The sequence below is a fragment of the Homo sapiens genome, chromosome 5 (assembly GCF_000001405.40).
Source record: "Homo sapiens chromosome 5, GRCh38.p14 Primary Assembly".
Taxonomy (NCBI): Eukaryota; Metazoa; Chordata; class Mammalia; order Primates; family Hominidae; genus Homo; species Homo sapiens.
In genome coordinates this window covers 69,529,700-69,552,382 of record NC_000005.10, presented here as the reverse complement: position 1 = coordinate 69,552,382, position 22,683 = coordinate 69,529,700, and the positions used below count along the sequence as shown (strand labels likewise).

Here is a 22,683-nt window from a genome sequence, read left to right as displayed (position 1 = left end):
GCCTGGGCGACAGAGCGAGACACTGTCTCAGGAAAAAAAAAAAAATTAATGAACCATGGCCGGGCATGGTGGCTCATGCATGTAATCCCAGCACTTTGTGAGGCCAAGGCAGGGGGATCACCTGAGGTTGGGAGTTCAAGACCAGCCTGGCCAATGTGGTGAAACCATGTCTTTACTAAAAATACAAAAATTAGCCAGGCATGGTGGTGCGTGCTTGCAATCCCAGCTAGGCTGAGGCAGGAGAATTGCTTGAACCTGGGAGGCGGAAGTTGCAGTGAGCTGAGACTGCGCCACTGCACTCCATCCTGGGCAACAGAGCAAGACTCCGTCTAAAAAAAATAATAGTAATGAACTACAAATGGACCCTTACAAACACTATACTGAGCAAAAGAAATCACACACAAAATACATACTGTGTGGTTCCATTTATGTAATGTGCAAGATAGACAAAACTCTATGATGTTAGAAGTGAGCATGATGGACCCCTCTGGAGAGAGTGTAAACACTGGAAAGTAGTACAAGTGAGGGTGGGGGTGCTGGGGGTGGGGAGGTACTGGGAAATATATTTCTTGATCTGCATACGCAGGTATGTGGTCACATTGTGAAAATTCACCATGTTATACACTTTGATTTATACACTTTTCTGTATGTATACTTCAACTTTTAAAAAATATATAAAATAAAAAATGAAAAACATGTAATAGAAAAGCTCTTCCTCCAGATGAGTAGGTATGGGAATTAAAATAAAAAGAAGAAGAAAGAAAGTTCTTCCTAAAAGAACAATCTCGGATACTTACTCCCTTCACTTGCTTCAGTCTATTGTATTCATCAGCAGCAGCCTATTAACGACAGACACAAAGGAATATGTTTACTGGGGCATTTTCTCTTTTAAAAGTAACATTCCTGATGTTATACTTTGGAGCTAAAAATGACAGCTTATGACAAAAATATAAGCAATTAAAAGAATGAAGTCGTAAAGCTCTTAAAACTCATGATCAGCAGGAAGGTCTGAAGGAATTCAGTGAAGAGACATTTATGATACTGTATCTTTCACATTTCACTCACATAGGCAGGTAACTATCTGTTCTGCTACTTCTCATCTCTCCTCATGCCAGTCCCCATGCTACATTGACACCAGGAAGATCTTTTATAACACAGAGCGCTCGCTGATCAGGTAATATCCCACTACACAACTGGTCTGAGCTTCCCATTAACTTCTCCCCTCATCCAGTTTCCTACCTTTCCAGTCTCAGTACCCATCATCAGCAACTCCTTTAAAAACTGAGACATGTTAAATGCTTCAGGATTTCAATCATGTTTTCCTTATGGCTGTAATCATGCACCTCCCCGCACCCTTCTGTCTGGAAAGCTCTTAACGATTCCCTCACTGTGAAGCCTCCAAAGACTTTATTTCTTCTATGAGCAGTTAGTTATAGTGCTTTCTACACATGATGCAAATACAGCATTAATCATACTGTCTAAATTGTTTAGATGTCAGGTTTTTTTTCTTAAAATATAAGCTCTTTTAGGGTGGGGACAAGATTTTATGTCTCTAGCTCCAGCATTTCCACATCATCAAAGAAAAATAAGTGATCAATAAATGTTCACTAAATTAAGAAAGATCTATAACACCCTATAGAAACCATAAAAGAAATACATAAATCTAACTATATAAAGATGTGAATACGTCAAAACTAAAAAGTAGATCACCTCAACTGAAAAATGGCAGAATATTTAATGAGATGTGCATCAAATGAGTCCTGTATTGTATCAAGAGGGAGACACAGTTGGTGCAGTCTCTCTGGAGGGCAATTTTGCAACTTTGCAAAGGTACGTACCCTCTGACTCTCAGCAATTTCACATTCTGGAATTAGTTTTAGTTAGATAAGCAGGCTGGGCACTGTGGCTCACACACGTAATTCCAGCACTTTGGGAGGCCAAGGCAGGCAGATCACCTGAGGTCAGGAGTTCGAGGCTAGCCTGACCAACATGGCAAAACCCCGTCTCTACTAAAAATACAAAAATTAGTCAGGTGTGGTGCCACATGCCTGTAATCCCAGCTACTCGGGAGGCTGAGGCGGGAGAATCACTTGAACCTAGGAGGCGAAGGTTGCAGTGAGCCAAGATAGCGCCACTGCACTCCAGCCTGGGCGACAGAGCAAGACTCCGTCTCAAAAAAAAAAAAAAAAAAAAATTAGATAAGTAGACAAGAGTGCAAAAACAGAGAGGTTCACCAGTATATACTGGTACTACTGGAGTAGGGGGAGACATACTTAAATGTCTATCCATAGAAAATGACTCTTAAATTATGATACAACCATAAATTTGAAAGTTGTTTACCTAATTTTACACATAAAAAACTTAAAAGTAAGTAGGTCTTTATTATTGATATAAAAAAAAAAACTTGCTGTTAAGAAAAGCCAGAAATAAGCAGTGCAAGGAAGTTTTTTTGTTTGTTTTTTTTTTAAAGATAAAACCCCACAATAAGAGTATGTCAAAGGGACACGGGAAGCAACTGAAAGTTCCCAACCGTCAAAGCGAGAACAATTAGAGCTACAAAATAAAGCAGCCTTGGATTATAATTCACAGTATAAAACAGGTATCTGTAAAGTCCATACTTACGTAAGTGATTGACTGATCAATAAAGGAACAAATAAACAAGAAGAGATTAATCTCCCTCTAAAAGGTGGTGTAACTACATTAATTTCAGTATGTATACAAAATACAGTATGAAAAGGATGGATTGAAAAAAAAATCCAGTAACTTTACATGGACAAATTCTATCTCAGCCAGGTGATCAAGGGAGGGAAAAAAAAAACCCATAAACTGTTGATTTAAAAGACAGGAAGAAAATAAGTGAAACATGGAAGATGATGTTTCCTTAAAGAAAGGTGTATGTGCCTTGGTGACTCCTGCTTGGAGAGATTGTTTTAACTAATATTTTGGTGATAAGGATTTCTTGATGGTAGGATTTAAGATGATTTCTTTTTCTGTATACAGTTCTGTGTTACTTAAGTTCTTTTTTTTTTTTTTTTTTTTTTTGAGATGGAGTCTCACTCTGTCACTCAGGCTGGAGTGCAGTGGCGCGATCTTGGCTCACTGCAAGCTCCGCCTCCTGGGTTCACACCATTCTCCTGCCTCAGCCTCCCAAGTAGCTGAGACTACAAGTACCCGCCACCATACCTGGCTAATTTTTTGTATTTTTTTTTTTTTTTTAGTAGAGACGGGGTTTCACTGTGTTAGCCAGGATGGTCTCGATCTCCTGACCTCATGATCCGCCCACCTCGGCCTCCCAAAGTGCTGGGATTACAGGCATTAGCCACCGTGCCCGGCCGCTTAAGTTCTTTTCTACAGAAAGAATGAATGGCTTTATAAATAGGAAAGATAATAAGGCTATTTTATTATTATTATTATTAATTTTTGAGATGGAGTCTCACTCTGTCGCCCAGGCTGGAGTGCAATGGCGCAATCTTGGCTCACTGCAACCTCCCCCATCCCAGGTTCAAGCAATTCTCCTGTCTCAGCCTCCCCGAGTAGCTGGGATTACAGGTGTCTGCCACCATGCCCTGCTATTTTTTGTATTTTTAGTAGAGATGGGGTTTCACCATGTTAGGCACGCTATTCTCTAACTCCTGACCTCAGGTGATCCACTTGCCTTGGCCTCCCAAAGTGTGGGGATTATAGCCATGAGCCACCATGCCCAGCCTGGCTATTTTATTTTAAATAGGAAAGGATAGATGTACATAGAATAGTGCTTTGTAGGGGCTGGGCGCGGTGGCTCACGCCTGTAATCCCAGCACTTTGGGAGGCTAAGACGGGCAGATCACGAGGTCAGGAGATCGAGACCATCCTGGCTAACATGGTGAAACCCCGTCTCTACTAAAAAAAAAAAATACAAAAAATTAGCCGGGCGTGGTGGCAGGCACCTGTAATCCCAGCTACTTGGGAGGCTGAGTCAGGAGAATGGCGTGAACCCGGGAGGCAGAGCTTGCAGTGAGCTGAGATCACGCCACTGCACTCCAGCCTGGGCAACAGAACGAGACTCCACCTCAAAAAAAAAAAAAAAACAGAATAGTGCTTTGTAATTATTAACTATTATACATTAGTACAATCTTCTATTAGGAAAGAATTTCATCCAAAACCCAATCTCAACTATTCTTCAATGAAACTGCAGTTTGATAACTACTAGCACATTTTTATCAACATTAATATAAAGGATGCTGTACCTCCACAGATTAGATTCAAATTCTGTTTAATATATAAATATCAGGTTGAATTTACCATGTACTCTTCACTTTCTTCTCTATAGTCATCCAATTCTTTATCCAAACGGGAGAGTTCTTTATTGATCTCATCAAGTTCTGATTGTAAGCTCTTGTATTCCTGTAGGCCAGTGTCAAAATTCCTCTTGTACAGTTGTCTTTGTTGATCTGAAGTGATAGGTGGATATTCCCTAAAAGGTGAGAGAGAAAATGACTACATATGTATCCTTAGCAGACATAAAATTCAATGCTCCTTCCTCAAAGATAATAAAGCTGGTTGGGTATGGAGAATGACATTTTCTTGTTTCGTTTTTGTTTCTTATGGGGAAAGAGAGAGAGAATACAAATAAGTTCTATTAAGAGTGACTATATATTACTGCTCATTTTTTAAAAAATAAAAACTATGCCTACGTAATTTGCAGAAATAATTTTGAAAATCATTTACAAAATTGAAGGTACAAGTCATAGGAACTCACTTATTTCCCATACACAATATCAATAATGGACTACTTATGTTTATAAAGTTTTTCTTTTCTTTTTTTTTTTTTTTTGAGACAAAGCCTGCTCTGTCACCCAGGATGGAGTGCAGTGGCACAATCTCGGCTCACTGCAACCTCCACCTCCCGGGTTCAAGCGATTTTCGTGCCTCAGTCTCCACAGTAGCTGGGATTACAGGTGCCTGCCACCACGCCCGGCTAATTTTTGTATTTTAGTAGAGACAGGGTTTCACCATGTTGGCCAGGCTAGTCTCAAACTCCTGACCTCAGGTGATCCACCTGCCTCAGCCTCCCAAAGTGCTGGGATTACAGGAGTGAGCCACCATGCCTGGCCTGTTTAAAGTCTTAAAACTGGAATTCTGGAACACAAAGTCCGCTTTGATCACCACAGTGGCAGCACAGCTGACTGGAAGTGGCTGTTTCCTGCTACCACCCATAGTTTTCAGACTGGTTTATTTATTTTTTTGCTCTTGTTTTTCCGAAGTGGAAATAGCTTATCTACTTCTTTCACAATAAAAATAGACATTAAAAATGTACATGTATAAAAACATGTGCTCACTGTTAAAATAATCTGGCAATTCATTAAAGTATAAAGAAGAAAAACTGAAATTTTGTATCACATCTATTTCTCAATATACCAGCCACTCCTTACATAGGAAGACGATGCCATTAACCCATAATCCATAGAGAAAATACTCTGAATCCTTTCACAGGACTGGAGTTTCACAATGATGTGGAATTTCAAATTTTAGATCTAACAATCTAACATCTTCATTTTACAGAGGGGAGAAATTTAAATGATTTGATCAAAAGGGAAACAAGAATTTCAGATTTTGAAAATTTTCAGGCTGGGCATGGTAGCTCACCCCTGTAATCCCAGCACTTTGGGAGGCCGAGGTGGGTGGATCACCTGAGGTCAGGAGTTTGAGACCAGCCCAGCCAACATGGTGAAACCCTGTCTCTATTAAAACTACAAAAATTAGCCGGGTGTGGTGGCGCATGCCTGTAATCCCAGCTCTTCGGGAGGCTGAGGCAGGAGGATTGCTTGAACCTGGGAGGCGGAGGTTGCAGTGAGCCAAGATCGTGCCACTGCACTCCAGCCTGGGCAACAGAGTGAGACTCTATCTCAAAAAAATATATAAAGTTTTCAGTTAAATCTTCCGTGATACAAGTTAGGTGAATATTTTACAGATAGATGGCTAAGCCAGGCCAAAAACTCTTGAGGGGAGAGGGGAAGATAAAGTATCAGAATCATCAGTGAATAGGGGATCTCAAGCTACCCATGCCCCGCCTATCATTCCTCACTCTCTGAGAAGCGATGTTTTGATTACCATTCACATTGCAAATGTTTCTGATGTGCGTCTTAGTCCTCAGAATACTTGGGCATAGGAAGGCTACACATCATACACAAATACATTTGGTGATGGTGGATGGATTGTAACAAAACCACCAAAACACAAAGAAACTTAACCACAACTGTGGCTGAACACTAAATTGTTACCTCAATTGTTTACGGAACTCTTTGGATTAAACTTTAAAAGAAACTCTCGTCTTATCATTTTAAGCTTAATTTAAAAAATAATTGCCGGCCAGGCGCGGTGGCTCACTCCTGTAATCCCAGCACTTTGGGAGGCCGAGGCAGGGAGATCATCTGAGGTCAGGATTTTCAAGATCAGCCTGGCCAACATGGTGAAACCCGTCTCTACTAAAAATACAATAATTAGCCGGGCATGGTGGTGGGCGCCTGTAATCCCAGCTACTTGGTAGGCTGAGGCAGGAATTGCTTGAACCCGGAAGGCAGAGGTTGCACCGAGCCGAGATCGTGCCATTGCACTCCAGCCTGGGCGACAGAGCAAGACTCCGTCTCAAAAAAAAAAAGTAATGCCAAAGGAAAACCATAGCACTGGTTTGGGAATTTTATAATTAGTAAAACAAAGTTCTTCTATACCTGGATTTTATTTATTTGAAAGGCCTTTGGTTGTTTTTTGAGATAGGGTCTAGCTCTATCACCCAGCCTGGGGTGCAATGATGCAATTATAGCTCACTGCAGCCTTGAACTCCTGGGCTTAAGCAATCCTCCTGCCTCAGCCTCAGCCTCCCGAGTAGCTGGAACTACAGGCCCACACCACTATGCCTGGCTGGTCTTGAACTCTTAGCCTTAGCCTCCCAAAGTGCTAGGACATCTTTCTTCCGTGACTATTGGTATAAGAAAGAGCACTGGTGAAGTTCACCAGCCACACTGTGGAAAGTTCAAAGTGGTTACTGCCAAAGTTCAAAGACATGGTTACTGCCAAACATTCTCTCCACTTCAAACTTTGTCACAAAAGGGTGCTAAGGAAAAAACCAGCCAACACCACACAAAAAACTGTCTCCAGTCCTGGTTGGCAAAGAATGAAATTACACCAGTGACCTCAATTTGGGAGGCAATAACTCCAACACCTGGTTGGTCTCCTTTAATTATCAGAAGGAGCACGTGGGCCAGGAAAGGAGAGCTGAGTCGGTACCTGATCCAGTCCTCCTCCAGCTCATCACAGGACTCGCCGCCAGTTGTGTAGTCTGTCTCATAGTGATCTTGCTCTGTTCTCTTTGACCTTCCTGCTCTTCCCTTTGCAGGTGCTCTTTTTGAAGGTGTCTCAAAGTTACCACCGCTGCTGTAACGAGGCTGCCTGAAGTCATCCACAGGCGAAGTTAATGGAAGCTCCTGAACCACTTCAGGAACCCTAATAAAAACAGGCATCATTGTTCAGTACACTACAGCCCTTTGCCAGTGCACTGTAATCACAGAGCACAGCCATAATAAACACCAGCAGACATCTGCACGCAGGTGCACTCACGCGAGGACTTCAGATGTTCAACACTGAGCAGATGCCTCGTTTTCTGCATTCAATTTGACAGCAGTTCAGAGTCCTCTAATACACACAAGTAGTAGGTTCCAATTTAAAGGGGAGTAGCCATTTTTATACCTTCTAAGTACAATGGATCTCAGATTTCATTTTAAAAAGTTCAGGCTGATCTATAAGAGGTGTTTACTTGACCTGTGCCAGGGACTTACTCTACAAAGGCTGTCAGGAAAACAGTGATCATTCTTTTCTACAGGCTCTTCTAGTTCCCTGGAATGCTGCATGGGGAAGAATGCACACATGCTCTTTGTAATATTGATCTTATACTACCATATATCAATTATCATATTAAGATAAAATCTTGCAAAATAAACTAAATATCTAAACTAAAAAAGTAAAAAGCTTTACATTGCAATAAATTAAAGAGTTCCTTTAGGATTCTTTTTAAAATTGCTGTTAATCCTGAAGCCACGTAGAATGAATAGAAGGGTTACCATTACACACTTACTATTTTCTTCTAATACAATTATTTAAAGTTGCATCACAATTGCATGTTTCGGACACAAACATGAAAATAACCCTAACTGAGGAATAAAATACCAAAGTTGAAAGTGGGAACTACTTCTGAGTAAAAGAAATACGAAGTTTCATTTTCTTGTAGAAAAGGGCAAGAACAGAAATGAAAACACCAAAGAATGGGCCTAAGACTTTCCAAGCATCAGCCTTGCCATTCCAATCAACTATTTAAAATGTCTGAAGCGTTTCTTTTTGCTGCCAATTTACATAAACTATCATACTGAGCTCTTCCAGGTTTAGTCCCTTTTCTAGGTGATCCACATGTGCTTTGCTGTAACTGTTGTCAGAGTCTTAGATTTCTAAGCACACAATTTCTTGCAGACTCTAAACTTTGGGGTATGTGTGTGTAGATGCAGGTGGGGGTAGTATTTATTTCTTCTTTCAAGATTTATGGCCGGAGGCGGTGGCTCACACCTGTAATCTCAGCACTTTGGGAGGCCGAGGTGGGCGAATCACTTGAGGCCAGGAGTTCAAGATCGGCCTGGCCAACATGGTGAAACCCCATCTCTACAAAAAATACAAAAATTAGTGCACTGTGGCAGGCATCTGTAATCCCAGCTACTCGGGAGGCTGAGGCAGAAGAATTGCTTGAACCCAGGAGGCAGAGAATGCAGTGAGCTGAGATCGCACCACTGCACTCCACCCTGGGTAACAGAATGAGATTCTGTCTAAAAAAAAAAAAAATTATTCAGGTAATATGGCTTTGTGTGCTATGCTAATGTTACTTCTAATGGAGAGAAAATGTGACTTTCTCCATGAGTCAATGATTAACAAGTTCCTAGACACTCTGCCAAAACTGCCAGGTACTATGCCTCTTCTTTGAGGTAGAAAAACAAAACCTTTAGAATGCAGTGGATTCATTTTAGGGGTGGGGCCAAAGAGGGAGGGAACTAAAGGGCAAAAGAAATTAGAAAAAAACATAAAAACAAAAAGTAAAACATCAAAGTAGGCCTCCTGCCAGAATTTTTATGATATTAGATATTGATATATCTTTAACTTCGAAGTTTTCCTCCCCTCCTCCTACACCCCTTTAAAATATTAACATACTTGATCTAGCATGAAAGCTAAAAGCAAAATGTTTCACAAGAAAAGTATTGACTACAGGTGTGAGCAACACCACACTGGGCTAATTTTTAATTTTTTTGTAGAGACAGGGTCTCACTCTGTTGCCCAGGCTGAGCCTTCCACATTTCCCAAGCTGCGTTGATCTTTCCAGCCCAGCATGAAGTTTTCTTTCCCAAAGCTTACATAGCAAAAAGATTCTGATTGGCCCTTTTTGGGTCACTGTCATCCTTGAAGCCAGGAGAATGTTCTCTGATTAGCAAGACTTAGATATGCCTCCCAATAATGGTAGCAGCTCTAAAATACAGTGTGTACAACAAACGTCATTCTAATAGTCATGGCATTGTTGATCATGGGTTGTTTCTCTGCCTTCACTGATGCTGTGTGTAATCAGAAAAGAAGGATTCTTATGCATGTGTTTTCAATTCAGTAATTGTCCTGAACACCTGACATGCATAGAGTACTGAGCCAGGTGACCCTGGGAAGACCAGGTCCATGTTCTCACGGAGGCTGCAAAACAGGGGTGGAGGAAAGTGCACAACAATTCTGCTGAGAGTCAGGGCAAGGTAGGAGCAATAAAGGCAGCGTGAAGGAGTGTGAGAGAGAATAAAACAAATGACTGAAGAATAAAAAGAACAAGCCGGCCAGGTGCGGTAGCTCACACTTGTATAATCCCAGCACTTTGGGAGGCTGAGGCAGGGGGATCACTTGAGGTTAGGAGTTTGAGACCGATCTGGCCAACATGTTGAAACCCCTGTCTCTACTAAAAATACAAAAATTAGCTGAGCATGGTGGTGCAAGCCTGTGATCCCAGCTACTCAGGAGGCTGAGGTGGGAGGATCGCTTGAACCTGGGAGGTAGAGGTTGCAATGAGCCAAGATTGCACCAACACATTCCAGCCTGGATGACAGAGCAAGACTCCATTTCAAAAAAACCAAAAACAACAAAAAAAACCCAGGCATGGTTGCATGCACCTGTAGTACTAGCTACTCAGGAGGCTGAGGCAGAAGGATCACTTGAGTGCAGGAATTTGAGGATTCAGTGAGCTATGATCACACCACTGGACTCCAGCCTGTGTGAAACAGTGAGACCCTATCTCTAAAAAGTAAAAATAAATAAATAAATAAATGTAGATGGCTATCCTGTCACAACAGAAGCTGAACTGAGAAGAAAGCCAACATACCGACAGATGAAAGAGAGCACATAACAGCCCTGCTATCTTCTGAATCCTTCGATTATGCCATGACTGAAGCTACAGACGTCCTTGGGCCTCACGTGACTCAGATAATTCCTCCTTTCACTTAAGCTATTTTTTTTCATGATTTTTTTTTTTTTAATTGAGACAGGGTCTCCCTATGTTGCCCAGGCAGGTCTCAAACTCCTGGCCTCAAGCAATCTTCCCACCTCATTGGCCTCCCAAAGTGCTGGGATTATCAGCCTGAACCACCATGCCCCATCTTAAACTAGTTTAAACTGGGCTTCTATAACTCCTCTAACTTGCATAAAAGTCCTAACATCATCCTACCAGCCTATTACTACCAAACAATGGTCTCATTTAGCAATGCAAGGAGTCAGCCTTCTTTGAAAGCTTTGCATTGCAGCAACATTCAACTTCCTTGATTTATGAAGGGTAATTCAACCTGGGTGTGGACAGGATAGTGGAGAGTGTACCTAATAGGGCTCTCCCAAGTTCGTTTAGTAGGTTTGGAGAGGCAACCATCTTCAGCTAAATTCTGGTGTCCCCTGATGCAGGATTAATTCTCAGAGCTGACTGCCTTAAAATTCTAAGGTATGGGACATTATAAGCAAAAGGAACCAGATATGAGAGTAAACTGCATTATTCCATTTTATTTAAAGTCCAATAATAACACGTTCACTAACAGATGGTGACAGACATCAAAATAGCTGTTACCTTGGGGTGGGTGTGGGTGGGTATTGATGGAGAAAGGGCACATGGGGACCTTATGTAGGGCTCAAAATGTATCTTGGTGGTGGGAGTTAAGTGGTCATAGATGGGAAAACTCATCAAGCTGTATACTCAAGATTAGTGCTCTTTTTATGGAATGTACATTACGCGTTGGGAGAAAAAAACATCTTAATACTGATTTACCTCATCCTTGGCACGGATGGGTGGATGGACACAATGTTCTCCATCTAATTCCTTCTCTATCCACTAGCATGGTGAGGAAGAGAGGTGCTCATGGGTTACTAAGCACTTGCAAGAATGCCTTAGGAAAGACAGGCTATGACTTATGTGTTCTTATTCCCATTCAAGTGGGTGTCCTCTGAATCCTCTATAGCACTCAGTACTCTACTATGAACAACACTTTACAATTTCTATTGCCCCCCAGAGGCTGTAAAATCCTTCCATCATTACCATGCTCTGGGGGAGATATTGTGCATTAGTATCTCTTAGTACCACTCCCATTCACCCATTCATCTGGGTTCTAAAATGAAGCATCGTGTTTGCACTTTCCAGACCTTCAAAAAAAATTCTGGGGCATAAGTTTGGAGCAGAAACTAGTACAATCCTTAAGAAATAAAACTTTTACTACATCTATCAAAATGAAAAAATGCACATTTATTTTAGCTCAGCAATTCTGCCTCCAGATACATTCACATATGTATAAAGTGATAAATGTATAAGGTTATTCCTTATACATTTGTGGTCTGTAATAACAAAACATTGGGGGAAAGTGTGCATCATATAGGATTAATACATTAAGTATACCAGCCAGGTGCGGTGGCTCATGCCTGTAATCCCAACACTTTGGGAGGCTAAAGCAGGCAGATCAGTTGAGGTCAGGAGTTCAAGACCAGCCTGGCCAACATGACAAAACCCCATCTCTACTAAAAATTAGCCAGGCGTGGTGGTGGGTGCCTGTAATCCCAGCTACTCAGGAGGCTAAGGCAGGCTACTCGGGAGGCACTTGAACCTGGGAGGCAGAGGTTGCAGTGAGCCGAGATCGCGCCACTGTACTCCAGCCTGGGCAACGGAGCGAGACTCTGCCTCAAAAAATAATAATAATAAAATAAATAAAGTATACCTATTTGGTAGAATATTATACAGCTATAAAACACAATAGTGCTTCTTCTTGATTATAATTAAAAAAATAAAACAGAATCAGGCAACTCATTGCATAGTGATATGGACAATATCCAAGATAAAATATATTGCTAATGATACATTTGGTATGCTAATATTTTCTTTTTCTTTTTTTTGAAACAGGGTCTCACTCTGTCACCCAGACTGAAGTGGAGTGGCACGGTCTTGGCTCACTGCAGGCTTGACCTCCTGGGCTCAATCAATCCTCCCACCTCAGCCTCCCAAGTAGCTAGGACTAGAGGCATGTGCCACCATACCTGGCAAATCTTTATATTTTTTGTAGAGAGGGGGTTTAGCAATAATGCCCAGGGTGTTCTCGAACTCCTAGGCTCAAGCAATCCACCCACCTCAGCCTCCCGAAGTGCTGGAATTACAGGCATGAGCCACTATGCCCAGCTCTGGTATGCTAGTATTTTAAGGGGGGGTGGGGGAATCAATGTACTTTGGCCAGTATCTTTATGTTTTAAAATCTGTGGAGAAATAGAAAGTGATGACATTAGTTGCCTCTGGGGAGAGGAACTAGCTAGCTGGTACCTTTTGTCCCTTTTAAATTTTCCACTACATAAAGTATTCAAGAATAAGAAAGATTAATACTTAAGGAATAAGACTTTCAAATTAATTTCAAATGAATTTGTGAAACTATCCTGGTTTTTGTGAAAAGGGACAACACCAGGGAATGCTGTGTAACCACGCAGGCCTTACAATTTAGAGGAACAGCTGGTGCCAAGATGCAGTATAGATATACATTTTGTATGTATGAAAGTTCTGCAAATTGGTCCTTTTATAGTTGATGAGCATGATGATTGGGTGTTCACACGCATGTGTGAAATGTCCCACCCTCAAATCTTGTTACAATATTGGCACATTACCCATCTGACATGAAAAAGGAGAAAAAAAAAGTTCTGCAAATCATAGCTTAAAAATTTTAGAGGCTGAGGCAGGAGGATCACTTAAGGCCAGGAGTTCAAGACTATCCTGGGCAACAAAGCAAGACCCCTTCTCTACAAAAATAAAAATAAAAAATTAGCCAGCCATAGTGGCACATACCTGTGGTCCTGGCTAAAGTGAGCTATGAAGCAAGAGGACTGCTTGAGCCCAGGAGTTCAAGGTCACAGTGAGCTATGATAACACCACTGCACTATAGGTCTGGGCGACAGAGTGAAACAGCATCTCAAACAAATGATGAAAAAAAAAAACTTAGAAGGATTGCATCTCTCTTGCGTACCCTTGTCCCTAACACTCTCAAGTGCTTTAGTTTTTGTCAAAATCCAAAGAGAAGAACAGAGAAAATGTGCTTTCTCCAAATCATTCACAATTGAAATCAACAGCAAGATCAAGTCTGAATACCAAAACAACTATGCACTCAGAGTAAATCTCATATATCATGGCCCACTAATCAGGAGTCGGGCATTGGGGATAAAACTTCAAAGCAGGCCAGGCGCGGTGGCTCACGCCTGTAATGCCCGCACTTTGGGAGGCCAAGACAGGTAGATCACCTGAGGTCAGGAGTTCGAGACCAACCTGGCCAACATCATGAAACCCCGTCTCTACTAAAAATACAAAAATTAGCCAGGCATGGTGGCGCGCACCTGTAATCCCAGCTACTAGGAGGAGGCTGAGGCAGGAGAATCACTTGAACCCAGGAGACGGAGGTTGCAGTGAACTGAGATCGCACTACTGCACTCCAGCCTGGGTAACGGAGTGAGACTCCGTCTCAAAAACAAAACAAACAAAAAAACACTTCGAAGTAACAAAAAAGTTATTTCCAGTAGATACACCTTTAACATAGACATTCAAACTAGCTGAAAGGAAATTTTTTGGGCTTTTTCAGTCTCCAAAGGAACTTAGAGTTCTAGAATTACAGTCACAAAGTCATAAAGACATTTCAGTCAATAAGGGACTAATAAAAGTATACGGCAAATGCAATTATGTACAGTATATAATACTTGACAATAAACGACTATGCTACTGGTTTATGTATTTACACTATATTTTTTATTAGATTCCTTCAACTTATTAAAAAAAAAAAAGAGTTGAAACAGGAAAAAAAAGTTAAAAGAGCCTCAGGCAGGTGCTTCAGGAGGTATTCCAGAAGAAGGCACTGTCACCATGGAAGATGACAGCTCTGGGTGTGTTATTGGCCCTGATGACCTTCCAGTGCAACGAGATGTGGAAATGGAAGACAGTGATATTGATGTAGGCCTAGGCAAATGTGTATGTTTGTATCTTAGTTTTGGGTTTGTGTGTGTGTGTGTGTGTGTTTATTTTTATTTTTTTTGAGATAGGGTCTCTGTTGCCCAGGCTGGAGGGCAGTGGTGCAATCGCAGCTCACTGCAGCCTCCCAAAGTGGTGGGATTACAGGCATAAGCCACTGCACCCAGTCTGTATCTTAGTTTTTAACAATAAAGTGTAGAAACTAAAATAAAATTTACATGGTAAAAATAGAAAACAGCACTTTGGGAGGCCAAAGTGGGAGGATCACTTGAGGTCAGGAGTCTAAGAACAGCCTGGTGGCAGGGCATGGTGGCTCATGCCTGTAATCCCAGTACTTTGTGAAGCCGAGGCAGGCAGATCGCTTGAGCCCAGGAGTTTGAGACCAGCCTGGACAACATAGCAAGACCCTGTCTCTACAAAAAAAAATAGAAAAAAATAGCTGGGCATGGTGGAGCACATGTGTAGTCCCAGCTACTGAGGTGACTAAGTAGTCTCAGCTACTTAGGTGACTAAAGTGGGAAGATCGCTTGAGCCTGGGAGGTCAAGGCTACAGTGAGCTGTGACCACACCACTGCACCCCAGGCTGGGTGACAGATTGAGACCATGTCTCTACCAAAAAAAAAAAAAAAAAAAAAAGCTTATAGAATAAGGAAAATACTTCTCTATATCTATATATCTATACAATGTAGGTATGGGATTTTTGGCTTTTCTTTTATTTTTGGCTGGATTTGAGCTCCCGGGCTCAAGTATGATCCCTCCCACCTCAGCCTCCCAATTAGCTGGGACTGCTGGTGTGCACCACTGTGCCAGGGTTTGTGATTGTGTTTTTTGTTGTTGTTCTTTTGTTTGTTTGTTTTTGAGACGGAGTCTCACTTTGTCGCCCAGGCTAGAGTGCAGTGGCGCGATCTCGGCTCACTGGGAGCTCCACCTCCCGGGTTCACGCCATTCTCCTGCCTCAGCCTCCCGAGTAGCTGGGACTACAGGCACCCGCCACCATGCCCGGCTAATTTTTCGTACTTTTAGTAGACACGGGGTTTCACCCTGTTAGCCAGGATGGTCTCAATTTCCTGACCTCGTGATCCACCTGCCTCAGCCTCCCAAAGTGCTGGGATTACAGGGGTGAGCCACCGCGTCCGGCCTTTTGTTTTTTTTTTTGAGACAGAGTTTCACTTTGTCACGCAGGCTGGAGTGCACTGGTGTGATCTCAGCTCACTGTAACCGCCGCCTCCCAGGTTCAAGTGATTCTCCTGCCTCAGCTTTCCGAGTAGCTGAGATTACAGGTGTGAGCCACCATGCCTGGCTAATTTTTGTATTTTTAGTAGAGACAGGGTTTTGCCATTTTGGCCAGGCTGGTCTCGAACTCCTGACCTCAGGTGATCCGTCCACCTGGGCCTCCCAAAGTGTGGGGATTACAGGCGTGAGCCACTGCACCCAGCCATGTGATTGTGTTTTAAGTGTTATTACAAAAGAGTCAAAAAAATTAAAGTTATAGAAAGCTAAGATTTATTATAGAAGAAAGAAAAATGTTTAGTAAATTTAGTGTAGCCTAAGTATAGTGTTTATAAAGTGTACAGTAATGTCCTAGGCCTTCACATTCACTCACCACTTACTCCCTGACTCACCCAGAGCAACTTCCAGTCCTACAAGCTTCATTCATGGTAAGTGCCTTACAAGATGTACCATTTATTTATTTATTTATTTATTTATTTAGATGGAGCTTCGCTCTTGTTGCCCAGGCTGGAGTGCAATGGCACAATCTCCACTTACAACAACCTCCGCCTCCCGGGTTAAACCGACTCTCCTGCCTCAGCCTTCCCAAGTAGCTGGGATTACAGGCATGCGCCACCACGCCTGGCTATTTTTAGTAGAGATGGGGTTTCTCCATGTTGGTCAGGCCGGTCTTGAACTCCTGACCTCAGGTGATCCACCTGCCTCGGCCTCCCAAAGTGCTGGGATTATAGGCGTGAGCCACCGCCCCCGCCAAGATGTACCATTTTTTATCTTTTATATTTACTGTACCTTTTTTGTGTTTAGATATACAAATACCACTGTATTACCGCTGCCTAGAGTATTTGGTATATTAACATGCTGTCTGCATTTGTAGCGTAAAAGCAAGAAGCTATACCACATAGCCTAGGCTCGTAGCAGGCTATCCATCTAGGTTTGTGTTAAGTACACTGTGATGTTCACTCAAGGATGAAATTGCCTAAAGACACACTTCTCAGTATTCCCATCGTTAAACAATGCATGACTATATATGTAAAAATAACGACTTCATCATCCTTAGGCAAAAATTACATCCCCGTCCATACCAATTATCTCCAATAGTCTTCTCTCACTAGTCATTAGGTGGAATTAGAATTGAGCTTTAGGGTAAGTGTTTCCACCACAGAGATACCATTTCAATTATCATATGACACCTACCCTAGGCCAGACGTTCACTGAGGTTTCACATCTCCCAGCAATACTGAGGACCTAGCACAGCAAATGAAATACCACAATTCCTGGATTCAAATGAAGTCTTCTAGTTTAACAGAAATGTATGTGGGCAGGGTTGATTAATGTGAAATGTCCTCCCTTCTGTTTATGAGATCCAACAATTATAGGCAAAAGGAGAGGCTGAGCACAGCACTGACCTCTGCTCAGTAACTTCCTCTCACCCTCACCTAAACTTCAAAACCAGAAATAGCAGAACCACATTCCTAGAGTGAAAGAACCCAACCCAACCTTTCAATTAAACAAGTAAGTGAAAAGAAGCATTTTCAACTTAGAAGGGAAATAGAACCCCACCCTCCTCATCCTGGTCTTCCAAGTAGCCGTAGGCCTCTGTACCAACAAAGCAAAGATTGTTGTAATACCAAGATCCAGATCCAGCTTTTGTGTGCACTGCTGGATATTTTTTTTAAGCAGAAAGGCACAAAAACCAATTATATGCAAATACTCATTTTTACACTCAGTCTATCAAACTAAGAGAGATGCTACTTACGGCGTGGATTTATAGGAAGACTCTGGATAAAACCGCTTGTCATTCACTTTGCCATTGGAAGAGTATGCCATGGGACTGTCAACTCTTTCCACATAGTCAGATGGGGGTGAAGGCACGTCCTGTGTGCCTGCAGACACATTTTTAACCTTAAAAAACCCCAAGAGATAGTTATTATTTATCTTGTAATGAAAAGGGGGAAGACACTGAAGAAAATTATCTTATATACATTATCTAATATTTATGTGGCCCATTAAATACTATTAACACTAATAATAAAAAGGCAATCATTACAGGTTAATAGTTAAATCCACATTGTAATAGACATATAAACAGTGCTACTGCTAGTTTAAACAAGTATATTACCAAGAAGAAAAATCTGATCACCTAGTTCTCATCCTAATGTGATTAGGTTTCATAATTATCTATGGCAATTTTCCACCTCCATATTAGGAAGACTGGTCTCATTATCTCACGCCCACATTAGAAAGACCACTCTCATTTAACCTAAGCCAGGTCTCGGTTAGGAGAATTTTCATTTCTAACAAGCTCTCAGGTAATGCTATGTTGCTGTCTGTGCACCACACTTGGAAAAGCACTAATCTAGAACAAAGCACACTGGTAGTTCTTAATCCATTCACCTCTCAACGTGGAATGTTAAAACCACAGAAGAAATTAAGAAGTTCAAGCTGACTTCTACTCTTTTAATAAGAGATTTGTTTATTCTCCCTTAATGTACGTTCTCTATGGCTCTATTACTAATAACCTACACAATATATCACACAACATCAGTGCCTTCCCTTTTCACTTTCCTTATTTCATTCTGATGTGTAAGTGAATTCATCCTACAAAAGTAACATGCATTAGAAATTATGCCTTAATAGGCCGGGCGCGGTGGCTCACGCCTGTAATCCCAGCACTTGGGGAGGCTGAGGCGGGTGGATCATGAGGTCAGGAGATCGAGACCATCCTGGCTGACACAGCGAAACCCCGTTTCTACTAAAAATACACACACAAAAAAAATTAGCTGGGCGTGGTGGCATGCACCTGTAGTCCCAGCTACTCGGGAGGCTGAGGCAAGAGAATCACTTGAACCAGAGAGGCGGAGGTTGCAGTGAGCAGAGATAGTGCCATTGCACTCTAGCCTGGCCAACAGCGAGACTGTGTCAAAAAAAAAGAAATTATGCCTTAATGTGAAATACATATACAGGTTCTTCTTATCTGAGGAATGTAAGCCCTTTCTTAAAAGCTATCAGGCCCGGAGAGGCATTAAAATGAAACAGCAATCAAGTCCTACTTCCCCCTTGAGCTATGTAGTTATCTCCAGAAACCGCGTAATCTAACAATGCTACACACTGGGCACCATAACCCTGCTATAGCTCGACGATGTAACAACGTTATTTCTGTAAACCAGTGAGAATTCCTGATGAACAACTTTGTTTCTATCCACTCCTTGTGCCCCGTTTTTGCCTTTAAAAACTTGCTTATAAAAAAGGTTGCATGGCGCACTCCCCAAGGCAGCTTGGAAGCATGTCCCAGGCAGCTGTTCTCAACCTTGGCCCAAATAAATTTTCTATATTAATTTTGCCTCAGCTTCTTCCCCTAGGTCAATATTAACATGGAAGGCTTACCACAGAACCTTTGGGATAAAAAATTTAAACATAAAAAGCACAGCCAACTAGACTCCCAACACTGTATGTATATATATGTGTGTGTGTGTGTGTATATATATATGTGTGTGTGTGTGTGTGTGTATATATATATATGTGTGTGTATATATATATGTATATATGTGTATATATACATGTGTGTGTGTATACACACACACACACACACACACACATACATGCATACATATATATATATATTTTTTTTGAGACAGAGTCTCACCCTGTCACCCAGGCTGGAGTGCAGTGGTGCGATCTCGGCTCACTGTAACCTCCGCCTCCTGGGTTCAAGTGATTCTCCTGCCTCAGCCTCCCGAGTAGCTGGGATTACGGGCACCCACCAACATGCCCGGCTAATTTTTGTATTTTTAGTAGAGATGGGGTCTAACCATGTTGGCCAAGCTGGTCTCGAACTCCTGACCTTAAATGATCCACCCACCTCGGCCTCCCAAAGTGCTGGGATTACAGGCGTGAGCCACCACGCCCGGCCACTGTTAGATTTTATGTTTTATGTAACAGCTCCAACACTCTTGACATTTTACCTAATAGCCTTTAAATTATTACATATCACTCTGTAATTGAGAAAAAAAATTGGAAAAAAACCAAAGACCTCAAACAAGTGCTAATCCTAGATGAATCATTTAGTTGTTTTAAGGCAAAGGAATAGAAATAAAGTGTGGGAAAAAAATCAAAATAAATCTACAGATATTTCTGTGAAAAAGAGCTGCTATTCAAAAGGGTAGAACCGCTCTAGCTTTGTGATAGGATCAATGGCATTTTAGGGTTTGGTACGTGTGCTTGTAGTGCCAGCTACTCGGGAGGCTGAGATGGGAAGACCTCTTGAGACTGAGAGGTGGAGGCTGCAGTGAGCTCTGATTGTGCCACTGCACTCCAGCCTGGGTGTCAGAATGAGACCCTGTCTCAAATACATACAAACACAACCAATAGCATCAGATTATCTGGGCTCACCCCAGGTCTGCCAACCACAAATTCTATAAAGCCTTAGTTTTCATCTGAAAAAGAAAAAAAGAAAAAAAAAAGGAGAAAACTACCTAGTACATAAAGTTATTTTGATGATTAAATGAGGTGACAAGGTATCACATTTACTACAGTGCCTTTAAACACAGTAAAAATTCAAAAGATGCTGGATTTTGGAATTAAGGCCACTTGATCTGATCAAATAATTTTTACAAGAATTTGGAGGTGGCAGAAGACCTTTATTTGGATTATTTTGCTATTATAAAGCCTTACAATTAGGTTCAGCTTCAATGCAGTGTATCTTCTGCAATACATATTCCTTACATCTTAAGTTTCCCATTCTTAGTAGCATTACATTAAAACATGAGATGCACTCTCCTGACGTATCCAGGCAGTATCACATACAGAAAGATATTTACCTACCCCTCAAAGTACATAGGGGTATTCTTGATTGTTTAACATTCAGAGACAGAAAGGAATAGAATCATTTCCCTCTGAAAGTGGAATTTGGCAGCAACTGCGAAACCAGTGGGTGGGTTGCCACGGAGTGTGCTCAGACCCCACCACAGGAGGGAAGGGAGGGAAGCACTCTTGGTTCCCACAGAATTCCTTACAACAAAAGTTTACAACAGAAGTTGCCAAGCTTCACAGGCAAATGCTTCACCAAACCAAAGCCTATTCTTAATCCAATACCTTATCAGAATTTAAAAATCCTTCCTTTGCTTAAAAACCCATTTTATACTTCTCTAGGTCCCACCTCCTCCTCACAGCGTGAGCTTTAGCAGAGTCTGTGTATCTTTTCAGAGATTTCTTACTGGCTAAAATGCCCTTCCCCTTTTGCCAGCTATTCCTTAATTGGGTTTCAATTCTTGGCTCATGTGCCACCACCTCCTCCTCATACAAGCCCCTCCTGGATGAGGCACCAACCTGTGCTATCTCCCTACACCTGTGCATACAAACCTCCCACCAAATCGCTTATGCACTGCCGAACAATGGCTTGCTCACCTATCTCACTTCAGTAGGCAGCGGACTGGGCTTAAGCCACCACTATCTGACTGCTTACAATTAGCCAAATATTGAAGTGACAGATCATTTTGTAGGCATGGATTTACAGGCAAATATCGTTCCTTTTCCAGAAATGAGGAAGCTGTGGCTCAGGCAGTTAGACAACTTTCCCAAGAACCTAGATGTAGAAAATGCAAGGGCGGGCAGTTTCCTGCTTTCCTCTTCGAGTCTCCAAAGGACCACACAGTGTCTGGCACAAATCGGGAGCCCCAAGTTTGCTGCATAAAGTTTACCTCATTGATAACTGTTCTATTTCTACACTGTATACCCAAGTATTTTATCAATGAGGCACACTGAGCTGACCTTTCTCTCTTAGCATCAGCAGAACTGGACTAGCTTGACCACTGACTCCACCCTTCAGCAAAGATCTCTGATTAAACCTTTTCTATACACATGCATAATAAATTCCAAGGCAGTGCTCCCTTCAGCAGCACATATATAAAGTTGAACAATACAGGAAAGATTAGCATGGCCTTTGGGCAAGAACAGCACCCAAATTCATGAAACATTCCATTTTTTTTTTTAAATCCTGAGCCAGCTGATGCCAGACTCCAACAGTCTAGAGGCAAAGGCAAAATATATTTGAAAAACAAGGAGTACGATCATTTTTTTTCCTCTTTACACTGCAATTTTCCTGAAAAAAGGCTAAAATATTTTTTCCTCTAACCCACTTAATGGTACCAATGCCAAGTAAGTATAAACCCAGTATCTGCGGCTTTTGAAGGACAGTAGGAAAGTAGAAGGGGGTTGGAGGGGGCAATACAAAGTGAACAGGTGCTCATTTCTACAAGGAGTCCCCAACCTGTATTTCCTATTATGAGAGAAATGACTTCTGAATTTCACTGTTATTACTGACAGAATGCCCCAGTCAGCTCATAAAACTCAATGATGTAGTTAAAGTTCTCTTAAAAAGGAAAAGAAAAATATTTTAATTTTCACAGTAAGATTTTTTTTTCTTAAGAGATGAGGCCTTGCTATGTTGCCCAAGCTGGACTTGAACTCCTGGACTCATGCAATCCTCCTACCCTAGCCTCCCGAGTAGCTGGGACTACAGGGTCACACCACTACATCTCACTTTTAAAGAATGAGTACTTGAGAAAACCAGCTAGGCATAATTCTAAACAGCAAAGTGTCTTTGTAACAATTTTCCCTTAAGTAACTTGAGGATATCTCTAAGAAATTAAGGACAGAAGAAAGCAGGATGAAAACACAAATCAAAGATTTCTCTAGGCCAGGTGCGGTAGCTCATGCCTGTAATCCCAGCACTTTGGGAGGCTGAGGCAGGAGGGATCACCTGAAGTCGGGAGTTCGAGACCAGCCTGGCAAACAAGGTGAAACCCCATCTCTACTAAAAATACAAAAATTAGCCAGGCATGGTGACGCACGCCCGTAATCCCAGCTACTTGGTGGCTGAGGCAGAAGAATCACTTGAA

At 41.8% G+C, this 22,683-nt stretch overlaps 1 protein-coding gene, 1 non-coding gene and 1 pseudogene across 8 annotated transcripts in view, besides 1 other annotated feature; 2 read left to right on the top strand and 1 right to left on the bottom strand.

The window, feature by feature from the left end:
• The window catches only part of OCLN (occludin), a 65,558-nt gene that overhangs the window by 5,722 nt on the left and 37,153 nt on the right, over positions 1–22,683 (bottom strand). For all 7 annotated transcript variants that reach the window (NM_001438604.1, NM_002538.4, NM_001410743.1 and 4 more), the window contains 4 exons: positions 17,544–17,689; positions 7,264–7,479; positions 4,282–4,453; positions 798–839 (listed from right to left, as the gene is read on the bottom strand). In NM_001438604.1, coding sequence (NP_001425533.1) covers positions 798–839; positions 4,282–4,453; positions 7,264–7,479; positions 17,544–17,689 — 576 coding nt within the window. The remainder of the gene's footprint in view (positions 1–797; positions 840–4,281; positions 4,454–7,263; positions 7,480–17,543; positions 17,690–22,683) is intronic.
• SNORD13B-1 (small nucleolar RNA, C/D box 13B-1) lies at positions 13,119–13,222 on the top strand. Its single transcript, NR_145987.1, has one exon. It is a non-coding gene; the product is annotated as a small nucleolar RNA, C/D box 13B-1 (small nucleolar RNA).
• Positions 14,170–14,669: an enhancer, noted in NCBI's record as "H3K4me1 hESC enhancer chr5:68833541-68834040 (GRCh37/hg19 assembly coordinates)". NCBI's record gives its function as "activates a minimal SCP1, AML or CMV promoter by ChIP-STARR-seq in naive H9 embryonic stem cells {active_cell/tissue: H9 hESC(naive)}" and the evidence as "EXISTENCE:reporter gene assay evidence [ECO:0000049][PMID:30033119]".
• RNU6-724P (RNA, U6 small nuclear 724, pseudogene) lies at positions 21,666–21,770 on the top strand (annotated as a pseudogene).